Source organism: Homo sapiens, chromosome 1, assembly GCF_000001405.40.
Source record: "Homo sapiens chromosome 1, GRCh38.p14 Primary Assembly".
Classification (NCBI taxonomy): domain Eukaryota; kingdom Metazoa; phylum Chordata; class Mammalia; order Primates; family Hominidae; genus Homo; species Homo sapiens.
Window position 1 is genome coordinate 235,394,700 of NC_000001.11, and position 18,016 is coordinate 235,412,715.

The 18,016-nt window shown below is 43.9% G+C and overlaps 1 protein-coding gene across 4 annotated transcripts in view, besides 2 other annotated features; it reads left to right on the forward strand.

Moving 5' to 3' along the window:
• The window catches only part of TBCE (tubulin folding cofactor E), an 85,017-nt gene that overhangs the window by 27,273 nt on the left and 39,728 nt on the right, over positions 1–18,016 (forward strand). For 3 of the 4 annotated variants that reach the window (NM_001079515.3, NM_001287801.2, NM_003193.5), the window contains exon 3: positions 6,804–6,888. The exons of the other annotated variant lie outside the window; for it this stretch is intronic. In NM_001079515.3, the coding sequence (NP_001072983.1) occupies positions 6,804–6,888 (85 nt within the window). The remainder of the gene's footprint in view (positions 1–6,803; positions 6,889–18,016) is intronic. 4 annotated transcript variants of the gene reach the window in all.
• Positions 3,161–3,361: a silencer, noted in NCBI's record as "peak773 fragment used in MPRA reporter construct". NCBI's record gives its function as "represses an SCP1 promoter by STARR-seq MPRAs in K562 erythroleukemia cells {active_cell/tissue: K562}" and the evidence as "EXISTENCE:reporter gene assay evidence [ECO:0000049][PMID:32103011]".
• Positions 5,399–5,932: an enhancer, noted in NCBI's record as "H3K27ac-H3K4me1 hESC enhancer chr1:235563413-235563946 (GRCh37/hg19 assembly coordinates)". NCBI's record gives its function as "activates a minimal SCP1, AML or CMV promoter by ChIP-STARR-seq in naive H9 embryonic stem cells {active_cell/tissue: H9 hESC(naive)}" and the evidence as "EXISTENCE:reporter gene assay evidence [ECO:0000049][PMID:30033119]".

The window sequence follows — 18,016 nt, forward strand, 5'->3', positions numbered from 1 at the left end:
TGTGAACCACCACACCTAGCCCTTATTTTTTGAGACAGAGTCTTGCTCTGTAGCCCAGGGTGGAGTGCAGTGGCATGATCATAGCTCACTGAAGCCTCAACCTCTGGGGCCCAAGTGATCGTCCCACCTCAGTCTCCTGAGTAGTTGGGATTACAGGCACTAGCCACCATACCTTGCTAATTTTTTGTTGAGACAAGGTCTTCCTATGGCGCCCAGACTGGACTTGAACTCCTGGGCTCAAGCGATCCTCCTGCCTTGGCCTCCGAAAGTGCTGGGATCACAGGCATGAGCCACAGTTCCAGGCCAGCTTATATATTTGTAATGCTGATTACTATTCCATTGTCTGGATGTACCACGGTTTATTCTTCACCTACTAAAGGATATTTTGTTTTCTGGTTTGGGGAATTATGAGTAAAGTTGCTTTAAACATTTGTGTGCAGGTTTTTGTGTGGACATAAATTTTCAACTTATTTGGGTAAATACCAAGGAGGATGATTTCTGGATTGTTGGATTAATTCTTTTAATTTTTGTGGGTACATAGTAGGTGTATATATTTATAGGGTACAAGAGAGATTTTGATACAGGCATATAATACATAATAATCACATCTAGGTAAATGAGGTATCCATCACCATTTATTCTCTGTTTGTTACAAACAGCCCAATTATACCCTTTTAGTTATATAAAGATGCACAATAAATTATTGTTGATGGTAGTCACCCTGTCATGCTATCAAACACTAGATCTTATTTATGCTATCTGTATTTTTGTGCCCATTAACCATTCCCACTCTCTCCCCCTGCCCAGCCCCCCAGCCTTTAGTAACCATCATTCTACTTCTTCTTCTTCTTTTTTTTTTTTTTAAGGTGGAGTCTCGCTCTGTCGCCCAGGCTGGAGTGCAGTGGTGCCATCTTGGCCCACAGCAACCTCCGCCTCCTGGGTTCAAGCAATTCTTCTGCCTCAGCCTCCCAAGTAGCTGGGATTACAGGTGTGCACCACCACACCTGGCTAAATTTTGTATTTTTAATGGAGACGGGGATTTGCCATGTTGGCCAGGCTGCTCTCGAACTCCTGACCTCAGGTGATCCACCTGCCTTAGCCTCCCAAAGTGCTGAGATTACAGACATGAGCCACCGTGCCCAGCCCCGTTCTACTTGCTATCTCCATGAGTTCAATTATTTTCATTTTTTTAGCTCCTGCAAGTAAGTGAGAACATGTGAGGTTTGTCTTTCTGTGCTTGACTTATTTCATTTAACATAATGACCTCCAGTTCCACCCATGTTGTTGCAAATGACAGGATCTCATTATTTTTTAAGGCTGGATAGTATTTTATTGTGTATGTGTTTATTTTCTTTTTCTTTTTCTTTTTTTTTCTTTTGAGACAGAGTCTCGCTTTGCCGCCCAGGCTGGAGTGCAGTGGAGCGATCTCGGCTCACTGCAAGCTCCGCCTCCTGGGTTCACGCCATTCTCCTGCCTCAGCCTCCGAGTAGCTGGGACTACGGGTGCCCACCACCACGCCCGGCTAATTTTTTGTATTTTTAGTAGAGATGGGATTTCACCATGTTAGCCAGGATGGTCTCGATCTCCTGACCTCATGATCTGCCCGCCTCTGCCTCCCAAAGTGCTGGGATTACAGGCGTGAGCCACCGTGCCCGGCCCTTATGTGTTTATTTTCTTTATCCATTCATCTGTTGATGGACACTTAGGTTGATTCCAAACCTTGGCTATTTTGAATAGTGCTGCAGTAAACATAGGAGTGCAGATGTCTCTTCTATATACTGGTTTTCTTTCTTTTTGGTATATAACTAGCAGTGGGATTGCTGGAACATATGGCAGTTCTATTTTTAGTTTTTTGAGGAATCTCCAAACTGTTCTCCATAGTGGTTGTACTAATTTACATTCCCACTAACAGTGTGTGAGGGTTCCCTTTTCTCTAGCATTTATTATATCCTCTCTTTTGGATAAAAGTCCTTTTAACTGGAGTGATGTGATATCTCATTGTAGTTTTGATTTGCATTTCTCTGATGATCAGTGATGTTGAGCACCTTTTCATGTACCTGCTTGCCATTTGTATGCCTTCCTTTGAGAAATGTCTATTCAGATCTTTTGCCCATTTCTTAATCGGATTAATAGATGTTTTTCCCATTGAATTGTTTGAGCTCCTTATTATATTCTGGTTATTAATCCCTTATTAGATGAGTAGTTTGTAAATATTTTCTCCCATTCTGTGAGTTGTCTCTTCACTTTGTTGATTGTTTATTTATTTATTTATTTATTTATTTATTTTTCTTTTGAGACAAGAGTCTCGCTCTGTCTCCAAGCTGGAGTGCAGTAGCGCCATCTTGGCTCACTGCAACCTCCACCGCCCTGGCTCAAGCGATTCTTTTGCCTTAGCCTTCCGAGTAGCTGGGACTACAGGGGTGCGCCACCACGCCCAGCTAATTTTTGTATTTTTAGTAGAGACGGGGTTTCACCACGTTGGCCAGGATGGTCTCAATCTCTTTTTTTTTTTTTTTTTTTGAGACGGAGTCTTGCTCTGTCGCCCAGGCTGGAGTGCAGTGGCGCGATCTGGGCTCACTGCAAGCTCCGCCTCCTGGGTTCACGCCATTCTCCTGCTTCAGCCTCCCGAGCAGCTGGGACTACGGGCGCCCGCCAGGATGCGCGGCTAATTTTTTGTATTTTTTAGTAGAGACAGGGTTTCACCGTGGTGCTAGCCAGGATGGTCTCGATCTCCTGACCTCGTGACCTTGTGATCCACCCGCTTTGGCCTCCCAAAGTGCTGGGATTACAGGCGTAAGCCACCGCGTCCGGCACTTTGTTGATTGTTTCTTTCGCTATGCAGAACTTTTGTGATGGATTAATTATTTTTAATTCTTGTGATGTCAGTGAAGTTGGGCCTGATTATGATTGGCTTTTCATGTGGCTTGAGTCCATGGAGAATAGGAAACAAATTAGGTTGACCAGAGTAATCAGGTTTGTGTGACAGCTTTATTAATCATTGTGAATTAATAAACCTGTGTGCTAGTGTCTGGTTCAGTCTTCTGTGCATTTGGAATTTTCAAATTGAGGCTATCAGGGTTTGTTCGCCCTGGATGTAGAAAGCAAAAATCTGGATCTTACACATTCCTGGGATCTGACTGGTGAGGTATACCCTTATACCATGTCTGTCCACTCTCTTACTCATACTGGTTTCTGTAGTTGCTCCTCTATCATTAATGTACTGGCCCCAGGGGAAAAGCTTGCTAAACCATAGATATTCTTCGTCAGACTTACAGCTAATCACAGTTGAATGCTGGCCTTGCTCCTTCTGTCTGCTTTGGCTTGAAAAATGACTTGTGCTTTGCAGTGTGAGAGAATGGCCTTATTTTGTGCATTCTTCTTTGTAGCATCCATCAATTCAACCCATTCTGATAGTTTCTATGATGATAACATTTACTTCTTTCTTTTTTTTTTTTTTTCTTTTGAGATGGAGTTTTGTTCTTGTCGCCCAGGTTGGAGTACAATGGTGCGATCTTGGCTCACTGCAACCTACACCTCCTGGGTTCCAGCAATTCTCCCAACTCAGCCTCCCAACTAGCTGGGATTACAGGCACCCGCCACCACGCCCGGCTAATTTTTCTATTTTTAGTAGAGATGGGGTTTTGCCATGTTGGTCAGGCTGGTCTCAAATTCCTGACCTCAGGTGATCCACCTGACTTGGCCTCCATAAGTGCTGGGACCATAGGTGTGAGCCACCGTGCCCGGGTATTGGAAAATGTTTTCTTTTAATGAGAGCATTTATACCATTTATGTTTTACTTAATTATTGATAATTTGGGTTTATATCTCTCATCTTACTACTTGCTTTTTGTTTGTTTTGCTGACATTCTGTTCCTTTTTTTCTCCCTTCATTGGATGACGATGATGATTATTTGTGGTGTTTTCTTTTTTTTTTTTTTGAGACAAGGTCTTACTCCATTGCTCAGGCTGGAGTGCAGTAGCACTATCTGCAAATTCTGCCTCCTGGGTTGAAGCAGTCCTCCCACCTCAGCCTTCCGAGTAGCTGGGACTACAGCTACTGTAGTCCCAGCTACTCGGAAGGCTAAGGCAAAAGAATCGCTTGAGCCGGGCTTATTTTTGTAGTTTTTGTAGAGATGTGGTTTCACTATGTTACCTAGGCTGATCTCAAATTCCAGAGCTCAAGCAATCAGCCAGTCTTGGCCTCCCAAAGTGCTGGGATCATGGGCGTGAGCTCCCGTGCCCAGCCACTATTTCTTTTCTTTTTTTCTTTTTTGAGACAGAGTCTCCCTCTGTCACTCAGGCTGGAGTGCAGTGGCTCAACCTTGGCTCACTGCAACCTCCATACCTCAGGCTCAAGCGATCCTCCCACCTCAGCCTTCTGGGTAGCTGGGATCACAGGCATGCACCACCATGCCCAACTATTTTTTTGTATTTTTAGTAGAGACGGGGTTTTGCCATGTTGCCTAGGCTGGTCTCGAACTCCTGAGCTCAAGCAATCCACCCGCCTTCACCTCCCAAAGTGCTGGGATTACAGGCGTGAGCCACCAAGCCTAGAGATGATTATTTTTACCTTGTGTTTCTTCTCCATTAGTTTGGAGTTGTGGTGGTATGATATATATTGGTTTTTGTTCATGGTTCCTGGTTCTCAACTCCCATACCTCTTGTTACAGTCTTTTGTTATAATATTGGTGTGTCAGGCCTCAGGAAACAGGATCTCTCTCCTGCCCTCCATTCTCCTGCCCCAAGGCAGAACTCTAATCTTCTTCCACCATTCTGACTGTGGGTCATAAGACCCTCCCGGAGAGGCTCCCACCCCTCTACACTAGAGGCAGGAATGCTAATGTCTTTGAACTTCTAGATAGCTGAATCTGTGAAGGTTCTTGCATCCATGGAGGGCTTGGAAGCTCCACAGCCCTTCCCCTGTACCTCGCCTTAGCACACCTCTTCATCTAGATTCTTTGCAATATTTTTTATAATAAACCTGTAAATGTAAGTAAGTGTTTTCCTGAGTTCTGTGAGCCGCTCCAGCAAATTAATCAAATACAAAGAGGGGGCTGTTGGAACCCCAGCTGTTTGAAGCTGGTCGGTCAGAAGTTCCAGACGCCCAGGCTAGTGGCTGGTGGTCTGACACTATGTCCAGTCAGATAGTGTCAGAATTGAATTGGCGGACACCCAGATGGCATCCCCTGCTTGGTGTGTGGGGAAAACCCCCACACATTCGGTCACAGAAGTCATCTGTGCTGATCGTTGTAGTGTGAGGAATAGTGTAGCAGAGGAAAGACATGGTTTGGAGAGTTTTAACTTATGCAGTAGTTATTCATTTTTTATTTTTCCTTACACAGCAGTTAATTTTTTATTATTTAGAGGTAAGTCTAGAGATTAAAATATGCATCTCTGGTTTACAGAAATCTAGTCTAATAATTATACCTCCTTTTGGACCCATGAAAGACCTTAGAACATGCCATTTATCACCTTCCTAACTCATATGTGTGACATTTTAACCGATGTTTATTTTAAACCCGAAGAACTGATATTATTACTTTACATTGTCTGTATTACTTTAACTTCACCCATATATTTACCCTTTTCTTGCCTTTTATCTCCCCACTCCTTGTATCTTTAGGCTTCTATCTGGTATAATTTTCTTTTTCCTTGAAGACTACCTTTATTGGGTTTTTGCTGAAATTGAAGGAAAAAATTATTTTTCCTCTTTTTTTTTTGAGATGGAGTCTCGCCCTGTCGCCTAGGCTGGGGTGCAGTGGCGTGATCTCGGCTCACTGCAACCTCCGCCTTCCGGGTTCACGCCGTTCTCCTGTCTCAGCCTCCGGAGTAGCTGGGGCTATAGGCGCTCGCCACCGTGCCTGGCTAATTTTTTGTATTTTTAGTAGAGACGGCGTTTCACTGTGTTAGCCAGGATGGTCTCGAACTCCTGACCTCGTGATCCGCCTGCCTCTGCCTCTCAAAGTGCTGGGGTTACAGGCGTGAGCCACTGTGCCCAGCCTTTTTTTTTTTTGAGACGGAATTTTGCTCTTGTTGCCCAGGCTGGAGTGCAGTGGCATGATCTCGGCTCACTGCAACCTCCGCCTCCCGGGTTCAAGTGATTCTCCTGCCTCAGCCTCCCGAGTAGCTGGGATTACTGTCATGTGTCACCACACCTGGCTAATTTTGTATTTTTAGTAGAGATGGGGTTTCTTCACGTTGGTCAGGCCAGTCTCGACCAGTCTCGAATTCCTGACCTCAGGTGATCCGCCCACTTTGGCCTTGCAAAGTGCTGGGACTACAGGCGTAAGCCACTGTGCCTGGGCTTTTTTTTTTTTTTTAATTTTTATTGTAGCCACATACATAACATAAAGTTTGCCATTTTAACCACTTTTCAATTTAACATTTTAAATTGTGGTGAAATATACGTAACATAAAATTTACCATCTGAACCAGTTTTGAATGTACAGTTTAGTAGTAACTACCCTAAGTATCTCATATAAGTGGAATATGGTATTTGTCCTTTTATGGTGGCTTATTTCTCTTAGTGTAATGTCCTCAAGGGTCAGTTTTGTTTAGTGTGCTCAATAAATTTTAGCCATTCTTGTTTTCTGGAGTGGTGGTTTTTGTTGGCTTTTTCACCCAGACATGCTATGGCATTTGCTGATTGAAGTCCTGAGTATAAGGCTAACTTGTCCATTCCCTCCTCCCCAAGTGGTATCTGTGTGATATGGTTTCCGCTGCAAATTGGTATTTGCTTGCAGAAAACTGGAGCATTGCCTGTATCATCATCTGTTACTCATTTGGTTTTTCTTGTTCTGCTAGGACCCTGGTTAGGAGTAGAATGGGACAATCCCGAGAGAGGAAAGCATGATGGGAGCCACGAAGGGACTGTGTATTTTAAATGCAGGTAACTTTTCATTATGAATCAGCACGGTCATTTAGTCAAGATTATATTTAATACTTGAATAAGGAGGGATGGAGAGGAAGAAATGTTTGGCTCATGGAGTAGTTATATTATGGAATTTGTTGTATTCCAAAAAGGCAGTTATTTTATTTGTGGCTTAATTGCTGCTGTTTGTAGCATTTTTCCCTTTTTTAAAAAAATTCTGACTCTTGACCTTATGCATGGCGTTGCTTTCTTCGTCCTTTTTTTTTTTTTTTTTTTTTTTAACAGTCCTTTAAATTGGATGAATGTAAACCTTTCTGGCTCATTACCAATTTACAATCCAGTAAGTAAATAATAGAAAAGAGAAACAGCCTAGATTTCCAGTAAGAAGGAATTGATTACACAAAATACAGAACATCTGAATAGTGGAATGTTGAGCCACCATTAAATAAATTTCTTATCATAGGAAGAGTTACATGTCACATTGCATTTCTTTGTCTTTTTTTTTTTTTTTTTGAGACGGAGTCTCACTCTGTCGCCCAGCTGGAGTGCAGTGGCACAATCTCAGCTCACTGCAACCTCCACCTCCTAGGTTCAAGCAATTCTCCTGCCTCAGCCTCCTGAGTAGCTGGGATTACAGGTGCCCACGACCACGCCTGGCTAATTTCTGTACTTTTAGTGGAGACGAGGTTTCACCATATTGGCCAGGCTGGTCCCGAACTCCTGACCTTGTGATCCGCCCGCCTCAGCCTCCCAAAATGCTGGGATTACAGGTGTGAGCCACCACGCCCGGCCTGTCACATTGCATTTCTATTATTATTTTTGATCGCCTGATGTCAGAAAAACTGCATGAAGCCCTGAAAAGGGTGCTGGGGAGCCTTCAGGCAGAGCCTGTCTTCTAAATTTTTGTTGTTGTTGTTGATTTTTATTAGTTTTCAATTTCTGAAAACGATCTTTCCCTAGTAAGCTGTTTTTCCTTAAGTATGGTACAGTGAACACAATACTGCCCTGGAAATCAGGGGGCCTCTAGCCTGTTTTTAACAGTCTTTTTTGTTTGTTTGGTTGGTTTATTTGTTTATTTTTTGAGACATTGTCTCGCCTAGACTGGAATGCAGTGGCATGATCATGACTCACTGTCACCCTGAACTCCTGGGCTCAAGTGATCTTCGCGCCTCAGTCTCCTGAGTAGCTGGGACTACAGGCGTGCACCAGCACACCCAGCTAATTTAAAAAAATAAAAATAAAAAAGAGATGAAGTTTTTCTATGCTGCCCAGGCTGGTCTCAAACTCCTGGCCTCAAGCGATCCTCCCACCTCGGCTTCTCAAAGTGCTGGGATTACAGATGTGAGCCACTGCACCAGCCCCACTTTTAACAGTCTTTATGGTCCTGAACAAGACAAGTTTACTAACCTTTAAAATGAAGGTCAGAATTAGGTAACCACACAGCATATCTCCTGGTCCACTATTTCATAATTTTAGAAAGTCAGGGTGTTCTTAAAAGGCCAACTCTACTTGTAGACTTGCCATCTCTGAATTTGTTCAGAGCTGTTCAGGTTATATGGTTAGGGAGAAATATTTTAGCCAGGCCCACAGATTCCTTAGGTACCTGGACCATGACCTTACAAACCCTCCAGTGAAAGGACTTTTTTCTTTTTTTTGAGATGTAGTCTCACTCTGTGGCCAAGGCTGGAGTGCAGTGGCGTGATCTTGGCTCACTGCAACCTCCACCTCCCTGGTTCAAGCAATTCCCCTGCCTCAGCCTCCTGAGTAGCTGGGATCACAGGCGAACGCTACCACGTCTGGCCAATTTTTTTGTATTTTTAGTAGAGACGGGGATTTCACCAGGTTGGCCAGACTGTTCTCGAACTCCTGACCTCAGGCAGTCCACTGGCCTCGGCCTCCCAAAGTGCTGGGATTACAGGTGTGAGCCACCACCCCCTGTGAAAGGACTTTTTATTTGGAACTTACCCCAGCCTACTTCCTTCTTGTAAAAGCTTGCCCAAATTGTCCATACTTTTATGGTCTTTAATGGTCTCTGGATACAGTGATATTTTCAAAGTCTTGGTTGCTCTGAGCAGAAAAATCAAGAATTGCTTCAAGTCCTGGGTGATGCAGGGTTTGTCCTGAAATGCTAATGGGAAGCCTTGGTTCAGGGACATTGAGTCAGTATAGTCATGCATTGCTTAATGAAGGGGATGTGTTCTGAGAAATGCCTGTTAGGTGGTTTCATCATTGTGTGAACATCATAGTATACTTAACAAACCTGCGTGGTGTAGCCTACTGCACACCTAGGCTACTGTATGGCATAGCCTATTGCTTTTAGGCTATAAACCTGTACAGCATGTTACTGTGCTGAATACTGTAGGCAATTGTAACACAATGGTAAGTATTTATCTAAACATAGAAAAGGTACAGTAAAAATAAAAAATTGGCCGGGTGCGTTGGCTCACGCCTGTAATCCCAGCACTTTGGGAGGCCAAGGCAGGCGGATCACGAGGTCAGGAGTTCAAGACCAGCCTGGACAATATGATGAAACCCTATCTCTACTAAAAATATAAAAATTAGCCAGGCGTGGTGGCGGGCGCCTGTAGTCCCAGCTACTCAGGAGGCTGAGGCAGGAGAATTGCTTGAACCTGGGAGGTGGAGGTTGCAGTGAGCTGAGGTCGTGCCACTGCACTCCAGCCTGCGTGACAGAGCAAGACTCCGGCTCAAGAAAAAAAAAAAATTAAGCAGTGTGGGGTGGTACGGGTGGTATGTGCCTGTTAGTACCAGCTACTTGGGTGGCTGAGTCATTAGGATTGTTTAAGCCCAGGAGTTTCAAGACCAGCCTAGGCAACACAATGAGATCTCATCATAAAAAAAAAAAAGATAGAAAATGGTATGCCTGCATAGGGCACTTAGCGTGAATGGACCTTGTAGGACTGGAAGTTGCTCTGGGTAAGTGAGTGAGTGGTGAGTGAATGTGAAGGCTGGGACATTCTTGTACCCTACTGTAGACTTTGGAAACACTGTAGCCTTAGGCTACACTAAACTTAGAAGTTTTTTCTTTCTTTAATAATAAATTAACTTTAGCTTCCTGTAACTTTTTTATGTTATAAACTTTAAATTTTTTTTTTTTTTGGGATGGATTCTTGCTCTGTCACCCAGGCTGGTGTGCAGTGGCATGATCTCAGCTCACTGCACTGCCTGGGTTCCAACGATTCTCTTGCCTTAGCCTCCTGAGTAGCTGAGATTACAGGCATGCGCCACCACACCTGGGTAATTTTTGTATTTTTAGTAGAGATGGGATTTCACCATGTTGGCCAGGCTGGTGTCGAACCCCTGACCTCGTGATCAACCCTCCTCAGCCTCCCAAAGTGCTGGGATTATAGGCGTGAGCCACCATGCCCGGTACTTTTTTTTTTTTTTTTTTTGGAGACAGAGTCTTGCTCCGTCACCCACGCTGGAGTGCAGTGGCACAACCTCGGCTCACTGCAACCTCTGCCTCCCAGGTTCAAGTGATTCTCCTGCCTCAGTCTTCCGAGTAGCTGGGACTACAGGCGCATGTCACCATGCCCAGCTAATTTTTGTATTTTTAGTGGAGACGGGGTTTCGCCATGTTGGCCATTCTGGTCTCGACCTCCTGATCTCAGGTGATCTGCCTGCCTTGGCTTCCCAAATTGCTGAGATTATAGGCATGAGCCACTGCACTGGACCTGAGCCTTCTTCCAGAATACCTCCTGAAGGACCTGCCTGAGGGTAGTTTACAATTAACTTTTTTTTTTTTTTTTTTTAATAAGTAGGAGTTTGCTGGGCACAGCAGCTCATGCCTGTAATCCCAGCACTTTGGGAGGCTGAGGCAGGAGGATCACCTGAAGTCAAGAGTTCGGGACCACCCTGGCCAACATGGTTAAACCCCGTCTCTACTAAAAACAGAAAAATTAGCTGGGCATGGTGGCATGCACCTGTAATCCTAGCTACTGGGAAGGTTGAGGCATGAGAATCACTTGAACCTGGGAGGTGGAGGTTGCAGTGAGCCAAGATCACACCATTGCACTCCAGCTTGGTCAGCAGAGTGAAACTGTGTCTCAAAAAAAAAAGAAAAAATAGAAGGAGTACACTCTAACATAATGATAAAAAGTATAGTATAGTGAACACTTAAACTAGTAACATAGCCATTTATTATCATTATCAAATATTATGTACTATACATAATTGTATGTGCTATACTTTTATGTGACTGGCAGTGTAGTAGGCTTGTTTACACCAGCATCACCACAAACACGAGTATTATGTTGTACTACAGCATTAAGACAGCTACAGCTTCACTAGGAGATAGGATTTTTTCAGCTCCAGTGTGATTATGGGACCACTGTAGCATATGCGGTCCATTGTTGATCTACACGTCATTATGTGGTGCATGACTGTATTTGGATTCTTAGCCTTGGAATAACTGCTTACTTCATTATATCGTCTAGTGTTGTGTTGTCATGCCTAAACATTTACATAATTGAAGTACATATTATCTTATTATAAATAACTTTTTAAAATTTAAATAGGCACTTTGTTGACATTAAAAAATTATATGAGTAGGTAATGTTATCTGTGAATTCCATTTCAGGATATTTATGGGGCAATACAAAAGAGATCATTGGGTCTGAAGTGGTGGAGAACCACTGGTCTGGACTACAGGAATTTAACTGGTCCTTTAGAGTTTGATGATTTCATGTCATGTTTTAGTTTCTCTGATCTCTTTTGTAACCTAAGGTAAATATAGTAATCTCCTGAGCTATTATTACCCATAATTAATATTTGTAACATTAGCAATTAATAGTGGTTTACAGTGTCAAAATAAAAATAAAATGTGCAGATGAATGTCTAAGTGTAACATTTTATTTGGGAAGCAAGAATTGCAGTTCAGGGCATCCGCACAGACTAGATCGTCTTTGGTATATCCAAAGAACAAAGAACAAAGAGAAACGTGGATTTTTTCTTTTAGTTTTTGAGACGGAGTCTCACTCAGTCGCCCAGGCTGGAGTGCAGTTGCACCATCTCGGCTCACTGCAACCTCCGCCTCCCGGGTCCAAGCGATTCTCCTGCCTCAGCCTCCTGAGTAGCTGGGACTACAGGCGCCTGCCACTACACCTGGCTAATTTTTGTATTTTTAGTAGAGATGGGGTTTCACCATATTGGCCAGACTGGTCTCGAACTCCTGAACTTTTGATCTGCCCACCTCGGCCTCCCAAAGTGCTGGGATTACAGGCATAAGCCACTGCTCCTGGGCTTTTTTTTTTTTTTTTTTTTTTGAGACGGAGTTTCGCTCTTGTTGCCCAGGCTGGAGTGCAATGGCGTGATCTCGCCTCACTGCACCCTCCTTCTCCCAGGTTCAAGGGATTCTCCTGTCTCAGCCTTTTGAGTAGCTGGTATTATAGGAAAGTGCCACCACGCCTGGCTAATTTTGTATTTTTAGACAGGATTTCTCCATGTTGGTCAGGCTGGTCTCGAACTCCCGACCTCAGGTGTTCTGCCTGCCTTGGCCTCCCAAAGTGCTGGGATTATAGGCGTGAACCACTGCACCTGGCCCCCGCCTTTTTTTTTTTTTTTTGGACGCAGGGTCTTGCTCTGTCACCCAGGTAGTAGTACAGTGGCACAATCATGGCTCGTTGCAGCCTCAACCTCCTATGCTCAAGCAGTTCTCCCACCTCATTTTTTGATTTTTTTGTAGAGATGGAGACTCCCTATTTTGCCCTGGCTGGTCTCAAACTCCTGGGCTTGAGTGATCCTCTTACCTCGGCCTCCCAAAGTGCTGGGATTACAGGTGTTACCCGCCGTGTCCTGTCTAGTACATTTTATAAAAAGGAGAAATGTTACATATTGTTCTGAAAGAAAGTTCATTGGCACTAGTCAAGTTTTGGAGAGCTGGCTAGCAAGCTCTGATTGGTGAGTGACAGTGGTGGGTAAGATTAGTCTTAGAGTCACGGCAGATTGTTTTAGTAGCTATTAAATAAAACTGGCTTCAGGTTACAACAGGCAGTCTCAGCAGCTGGGCTTGTAATAAACTGAATTCTTGGAGCAGGTGTTGTGTGCCCCGAGCACTTTTTCCCCTTGGTCCCTTGACTCTGATTTAGTTGGGTATGACAAGAATGACCCAGTTTCTGTAATCAACTTTCCCAAGATTTATCCAAGATTTATGGCCGTGCGCCAGTCACCCGTGTCCTTCCTAGGTACTCCTGCTCTCTACTTCTTGTTGAAGGGGTAGTTGAGGGGTTCAAATATGGTAAGTAACCTTGAAGTCCTCTTTACCTTGTCCGTAGACAGCAGAGTGGTTTTCAGTTTTTTTTTTCTTTCAACCTAAACCCCAGAGTATGCTCTGAACAGAGCTGTGTGTGTCAGTATTCTGCCCACTCACCTTTTATTTCAGTGCTTCTGTTTCCAAGCAATGGTAGAAGTTCTCTTTTCTGGTGAGAAATAAATCTTAAAATCTGACTTTTCTTCAACACTAGGGAGCAGAATCTAACTTTAATACTTAGCATCAGAGAGGTCGTGCTGTTCCAGCCTGTGTCTGTGGTAATGGACATCTTAGGAAATGGATGGTTGACAATTTAAGAAACAAAGCCCTAGCAATAAAGGATAAGTGTTTGAAAGAAAGGATAAATGTTTGAAGTGATAGATACCCCATTCACCCTGATGTGATTGTTACACGTGTGCCTGTATCAAAATATTGTATGTACCCACAAAAATTAAAAATTAAACTAAAAAAAGAAAGCCCTTGATTTATTCATCTTTTGTGTGTCATAAGCCAGTTGTAAAGTGTTTTGAGGATCTTGGCTGAGCATTAATGGATTGGTATAAAATATTCTCTTGGTGTGGTGTAAAGTGTTGGAAGATTTTTTTTTTTTTTTAATCAGGAAATGTAATGATAGTATGTGGGCAAGGCGCATCTCTGTTCAAAAAGGTGGTAGCTCTGCTTCATTTTTGGAAGGTTTTCTTGAATCAGAGCAAAATCATAATTGTGTCAACGCAAAAGCAGTTGAGATGAATATTAAATTCAGCTGATTAGAGAAGCAAACAAAAAGAGCAGTCTACAGCAAGGTGCTTATCTACTGTACTGCTTTACTCACAGGAAAACAACCTCTCTGGGTCAGCTCTTTAGATGTTACAGCGCTGAACACTGCACGAAAGCTGAGTTCTCCTCTCCTGATGAACAGCTAGTTATGCAACCTTGCTGAACACTAAACATTCCTGAAACAAACAGGGTATCAAGATCAACAGTATTTATTAGAAACTCCCCAGAGACCTGGCCTTTTCCAGTAGCTTGTATCCAAAGCTCCAACAAGAAAGAAGCTTACTGTGGAAGTCTGGGAGTCTGTTGGGGACCCTTTACCTTTGTGTAGTGTTGCCAGATTCAGCAAACAAAAATACCAAATGCATAGTGAACTTTGGATTTCAGATAAACAGCCAATCTTTTTTTTTTTTTTTTTTAGTATAAGTATGAGACATGCATGGGGGCATACTTACTTAAAAATGATTTGCTGTTTATCTGAAATACAAGCTTAACTGAGCATCTTCGATTCTATGTGGCAGTCCTGATGGGGACATAGGACAGAATGAATCTTGATAACTGGGTTTTATGAGCACATGCTGTTTCCACAAGGGCCATGGGTCAGGATGATGATTTTACCAGCAGCATGTGTAATTGGTAGGCAGAAGGAGGAAGGAACCTGAACAGGCCAAATGCTTCCAAGAGAAACGTTTTTGGACACCCCTCCCTGTATTCTCCTCCTCACCAACATTTTTCTCTTTAGACATGGTTTGGAATTTCAGTGTTTGGATACAGTTTCTTAATATATTAATGTAGAATCTCAGTGGAGTCTATGTAAATTATTACAGTTTACCTCTTGGAGATTTGTTGTTATTGATGGGCACCCATTCAGCTAGGGTTTTTCACTATTTGTTGAGGCTGTTTTGTTTTCTGAGAAACCTGCTGGAAATGTTCCAGAAAATATTGATCTTTAGTGTTAGTCTTTGATCTGTAAAGGGCATAGCATCCGTTTTGCAACTACCTAACAACATTCCTAACTCTCCTTTCATCTGCCTGCAACTAAACTCAACAGTAATAAAGATCTGTTCATGACTTCTTGTTTTTTTACCATGGTTTTAAAACTTGTTTATTACCACTGTTTTAAAAAGTGTAGATTTAGGGCCTGGCGCCGTGGCTCATGCCTGTAATCCCAGCACTTTGGGAAGCCGAGGTGGGCGGATCACTTGAGGTCAGGAGTTCGAGACCATCCTATCTAACACAGTGAAACCCCGTCTCTACTAAAAATACAAAAAATTAGCCAGGCGTGGTGGCGGGTGCTTGTAGTTCCAGCTACTTGGGAGGCTGAGGCAGGAGAATGGCGTGAACCCGGGAGTTGGAGATTGCAGTGAACCGAGATCGTGCCACTGCACTCCAGCCTGCGTGACAGAGTGAGACTCTGTCTCAAACAAAAACAAAAACAAAAAAAACAGAAACAAAAATTAGCCGGGCGTGGTGTTGCACGCCTGTAATCCCAGCTACTCAGGAGGCTGAGGCAGGAGAATTGCTTCAACCCGGGAGGCTGAGGCAGGAGAATTGCTTCAACCAGGGAGGCTGAGGTTGCAGTGAGCCAAGATCACCCCACTGCACTCCAGCCTGGGCAACAGAGGGAGACTCTATCTCCAAAAAAAATTATAATAAAGGAATAACGAATGGCTACTCCATAGGCAGAACAGTCCCGAGGACTGCTGGGTGCCCATTTTTATGGTTATTTCTTGAGTATATGCTAAACAAGGGGTGGATTATTCATGCCTCCCCTTTTAAGACCATGTAGGGTAATTTCCTGACGTTGCCATGGCATTTGTAAACTGTCATGGTGCTGGTGGGAGTGTAGCAGTGAGGATGACCAGAGGTCACTCTCATCTCCATCTTGGTTTTGGTGGGTTTTAGCCAGCTTCTTTACTGCATGCTGTTTCATCAGCAAGGTCTTTAATGACCTGTATCTTGTACCGACCTCCTAGTTCATCCTGAGACTTAGAATGCCTAACAGTCTGGAATGCAGCCTGGTAGGTCTCAGCCTTATTTTACCCAGCTCCTATTCAAGATGGAGTTGCTCTGGTTCAAACGTCTCTGACATATTTCCCCCCTCCCTTTTACGAGAGAACCCTTAATCCTAAGGGCTGCAGAGGGATGAAGATCCACTTTCTGTAACTTCTTTATGCTGAACAGGGGTGATGATATTCCTGCCTAACTGTTGGGTCTCTTGCATTCAGGGTAGAGGAGCTCAGTTCGAAAGCGTTGGTATGGCGAAGGCCATTCATAACTCTTGAGTTCCGACAAAAGGTATATCTGGAAGATTAATAAGTGTTCAGTTTAAGAAAACATTTAGTAAGCTTATCCTGCATTCCTACACAAAGAGTATAATCACAGCAATATATTCCACAACAGTAAAATAAAAAAAATAAAATTATCCCAAGTAAACTGAATTAGAAAGTTTTCCATGAACTGGGCAATTGTTTAAATCAAGCTAATAAGGAGTCACTAGCCAATTCCAATATGTGCCCAGAATTAGAATAACATTACCCATCACTCTTGTTTCTTCTGAGCAGCAGCCAGAGATCACTGGTTGGTTCACAGGAATAAGTGGGATCATTCTCTTGTCTTCCATAGGTCTGTGGGACACAGGTCAGGAACTGTGTAGACAAGGAGTGAGGCCAGTTTTCCCAAGCGGCTTTTATTGGCTCTATAAGTCAAGTTTGATTCCATAAAGGAACACACACCATTCCAGTTGAAGCCTTGGTAAAATAAGCAGTTTCTCCACTTGTGTCCCAAGGTCACCCAGTCAGTGCTGCAGACTATTTCCTTTGGGTTGGGGGGCGGGTCCCCTCAGTGTCCTCCTTTCTGTGGTTCGCCAGAAAGATGTTACCAGAAAGGGGTCCTGATCCAGGCCCCAAGAGAGGGTTCTAGGATCTTGCAAAGGAAAGAATTTGAGGGGAATCCATAGAGTAAAGTGAAAGCAAGTTTATTAAGAAAGTAAAGGAATAATAAAGAATGGCTACTCCATAGGCAGAGCAGCCAGTAAACTAGGCTTGTAACTTAAGAGACATGTTTAACTTACAGAAACAAATCACTGATGTGTGTGTATAAGCCATGAGAGAGATATGGGACTTAATTTTGCTACAAAAGAGGATTTAATTTCCTGCATAATCAGCTTCCCCCTATTCCACTGAATTAATTTCATCAACATACAAGGTGGATATTTTCTCCTGTCTTAAGCAATCTCCCTCCTTTGACCCCTGTGCCCCTTCAGGACAAGGGTAGGCTGTGCTCACTTGCCTCCCAGTCTTTGGAACTCACCCTCGCTGGGCTTTGCCCTATTGCCCCACCCAGACTGCTCGTAGGAAAGGTTATGTTCATGTTGCTGGATTCAGTGGCAAGGCCTCAGCTGTTACCTTACCTGACCTGGTTTTAGCATTGGACATGGTTGTTGACTTTCTTCATTGGCTTCCAGGACACCACACTCTCCAAGTTTCCCTTCCCATCCCTTTCCCTTCCCATCCCTTTCCCTTCTCCTCCCCTTCCCCTCCCCTCCCCTCCCCTTCCCCCCTCCCCTCCCCTCCCCCTCCCCTCCCCCTCCCCTCCCCTCCCCCTCCCCTCCCCTCCCCCTCCCCTTCCCTCCTTTCCCCTCCCCTCGTTTCCATCTGTCGCCCAGGCTAGAGTGCAATGATGTGATCTCAGCTCATTGCAAGCTTCACCTCCTGGGCTCAAGCAATTCTCTTGCCTCATACTTCCAAGTAGCGAAACTCCAGGTACCAGCAACCATGCCTGGCTAATTTTTGTATTTTTAATAGAGGCAGGGTTTCACCATGTTGACCAGGCTGGTCTCAAACTCCTGACTTTAGGTGATCTGCCCACCTCAGCCTCCCAAAATGCTAGGATCATAGGGGTGAGCTACCGCACCTGATCTCAAACTCCTGACTTTAGGTGATCTGCCCGCCTCAGCCTCCCAAAATGCTAGGATTATAGGGGTGAGCTACCGCACCCAGCCCACACTCTCTAAGTTTCTAACTCCCTCCTGGCCACTTCTTCCCAGGTTGGGGATTGGTTTTAACTTTTTGGGATCACAAGTTCCTTTTAGAGTCTGATCATCAC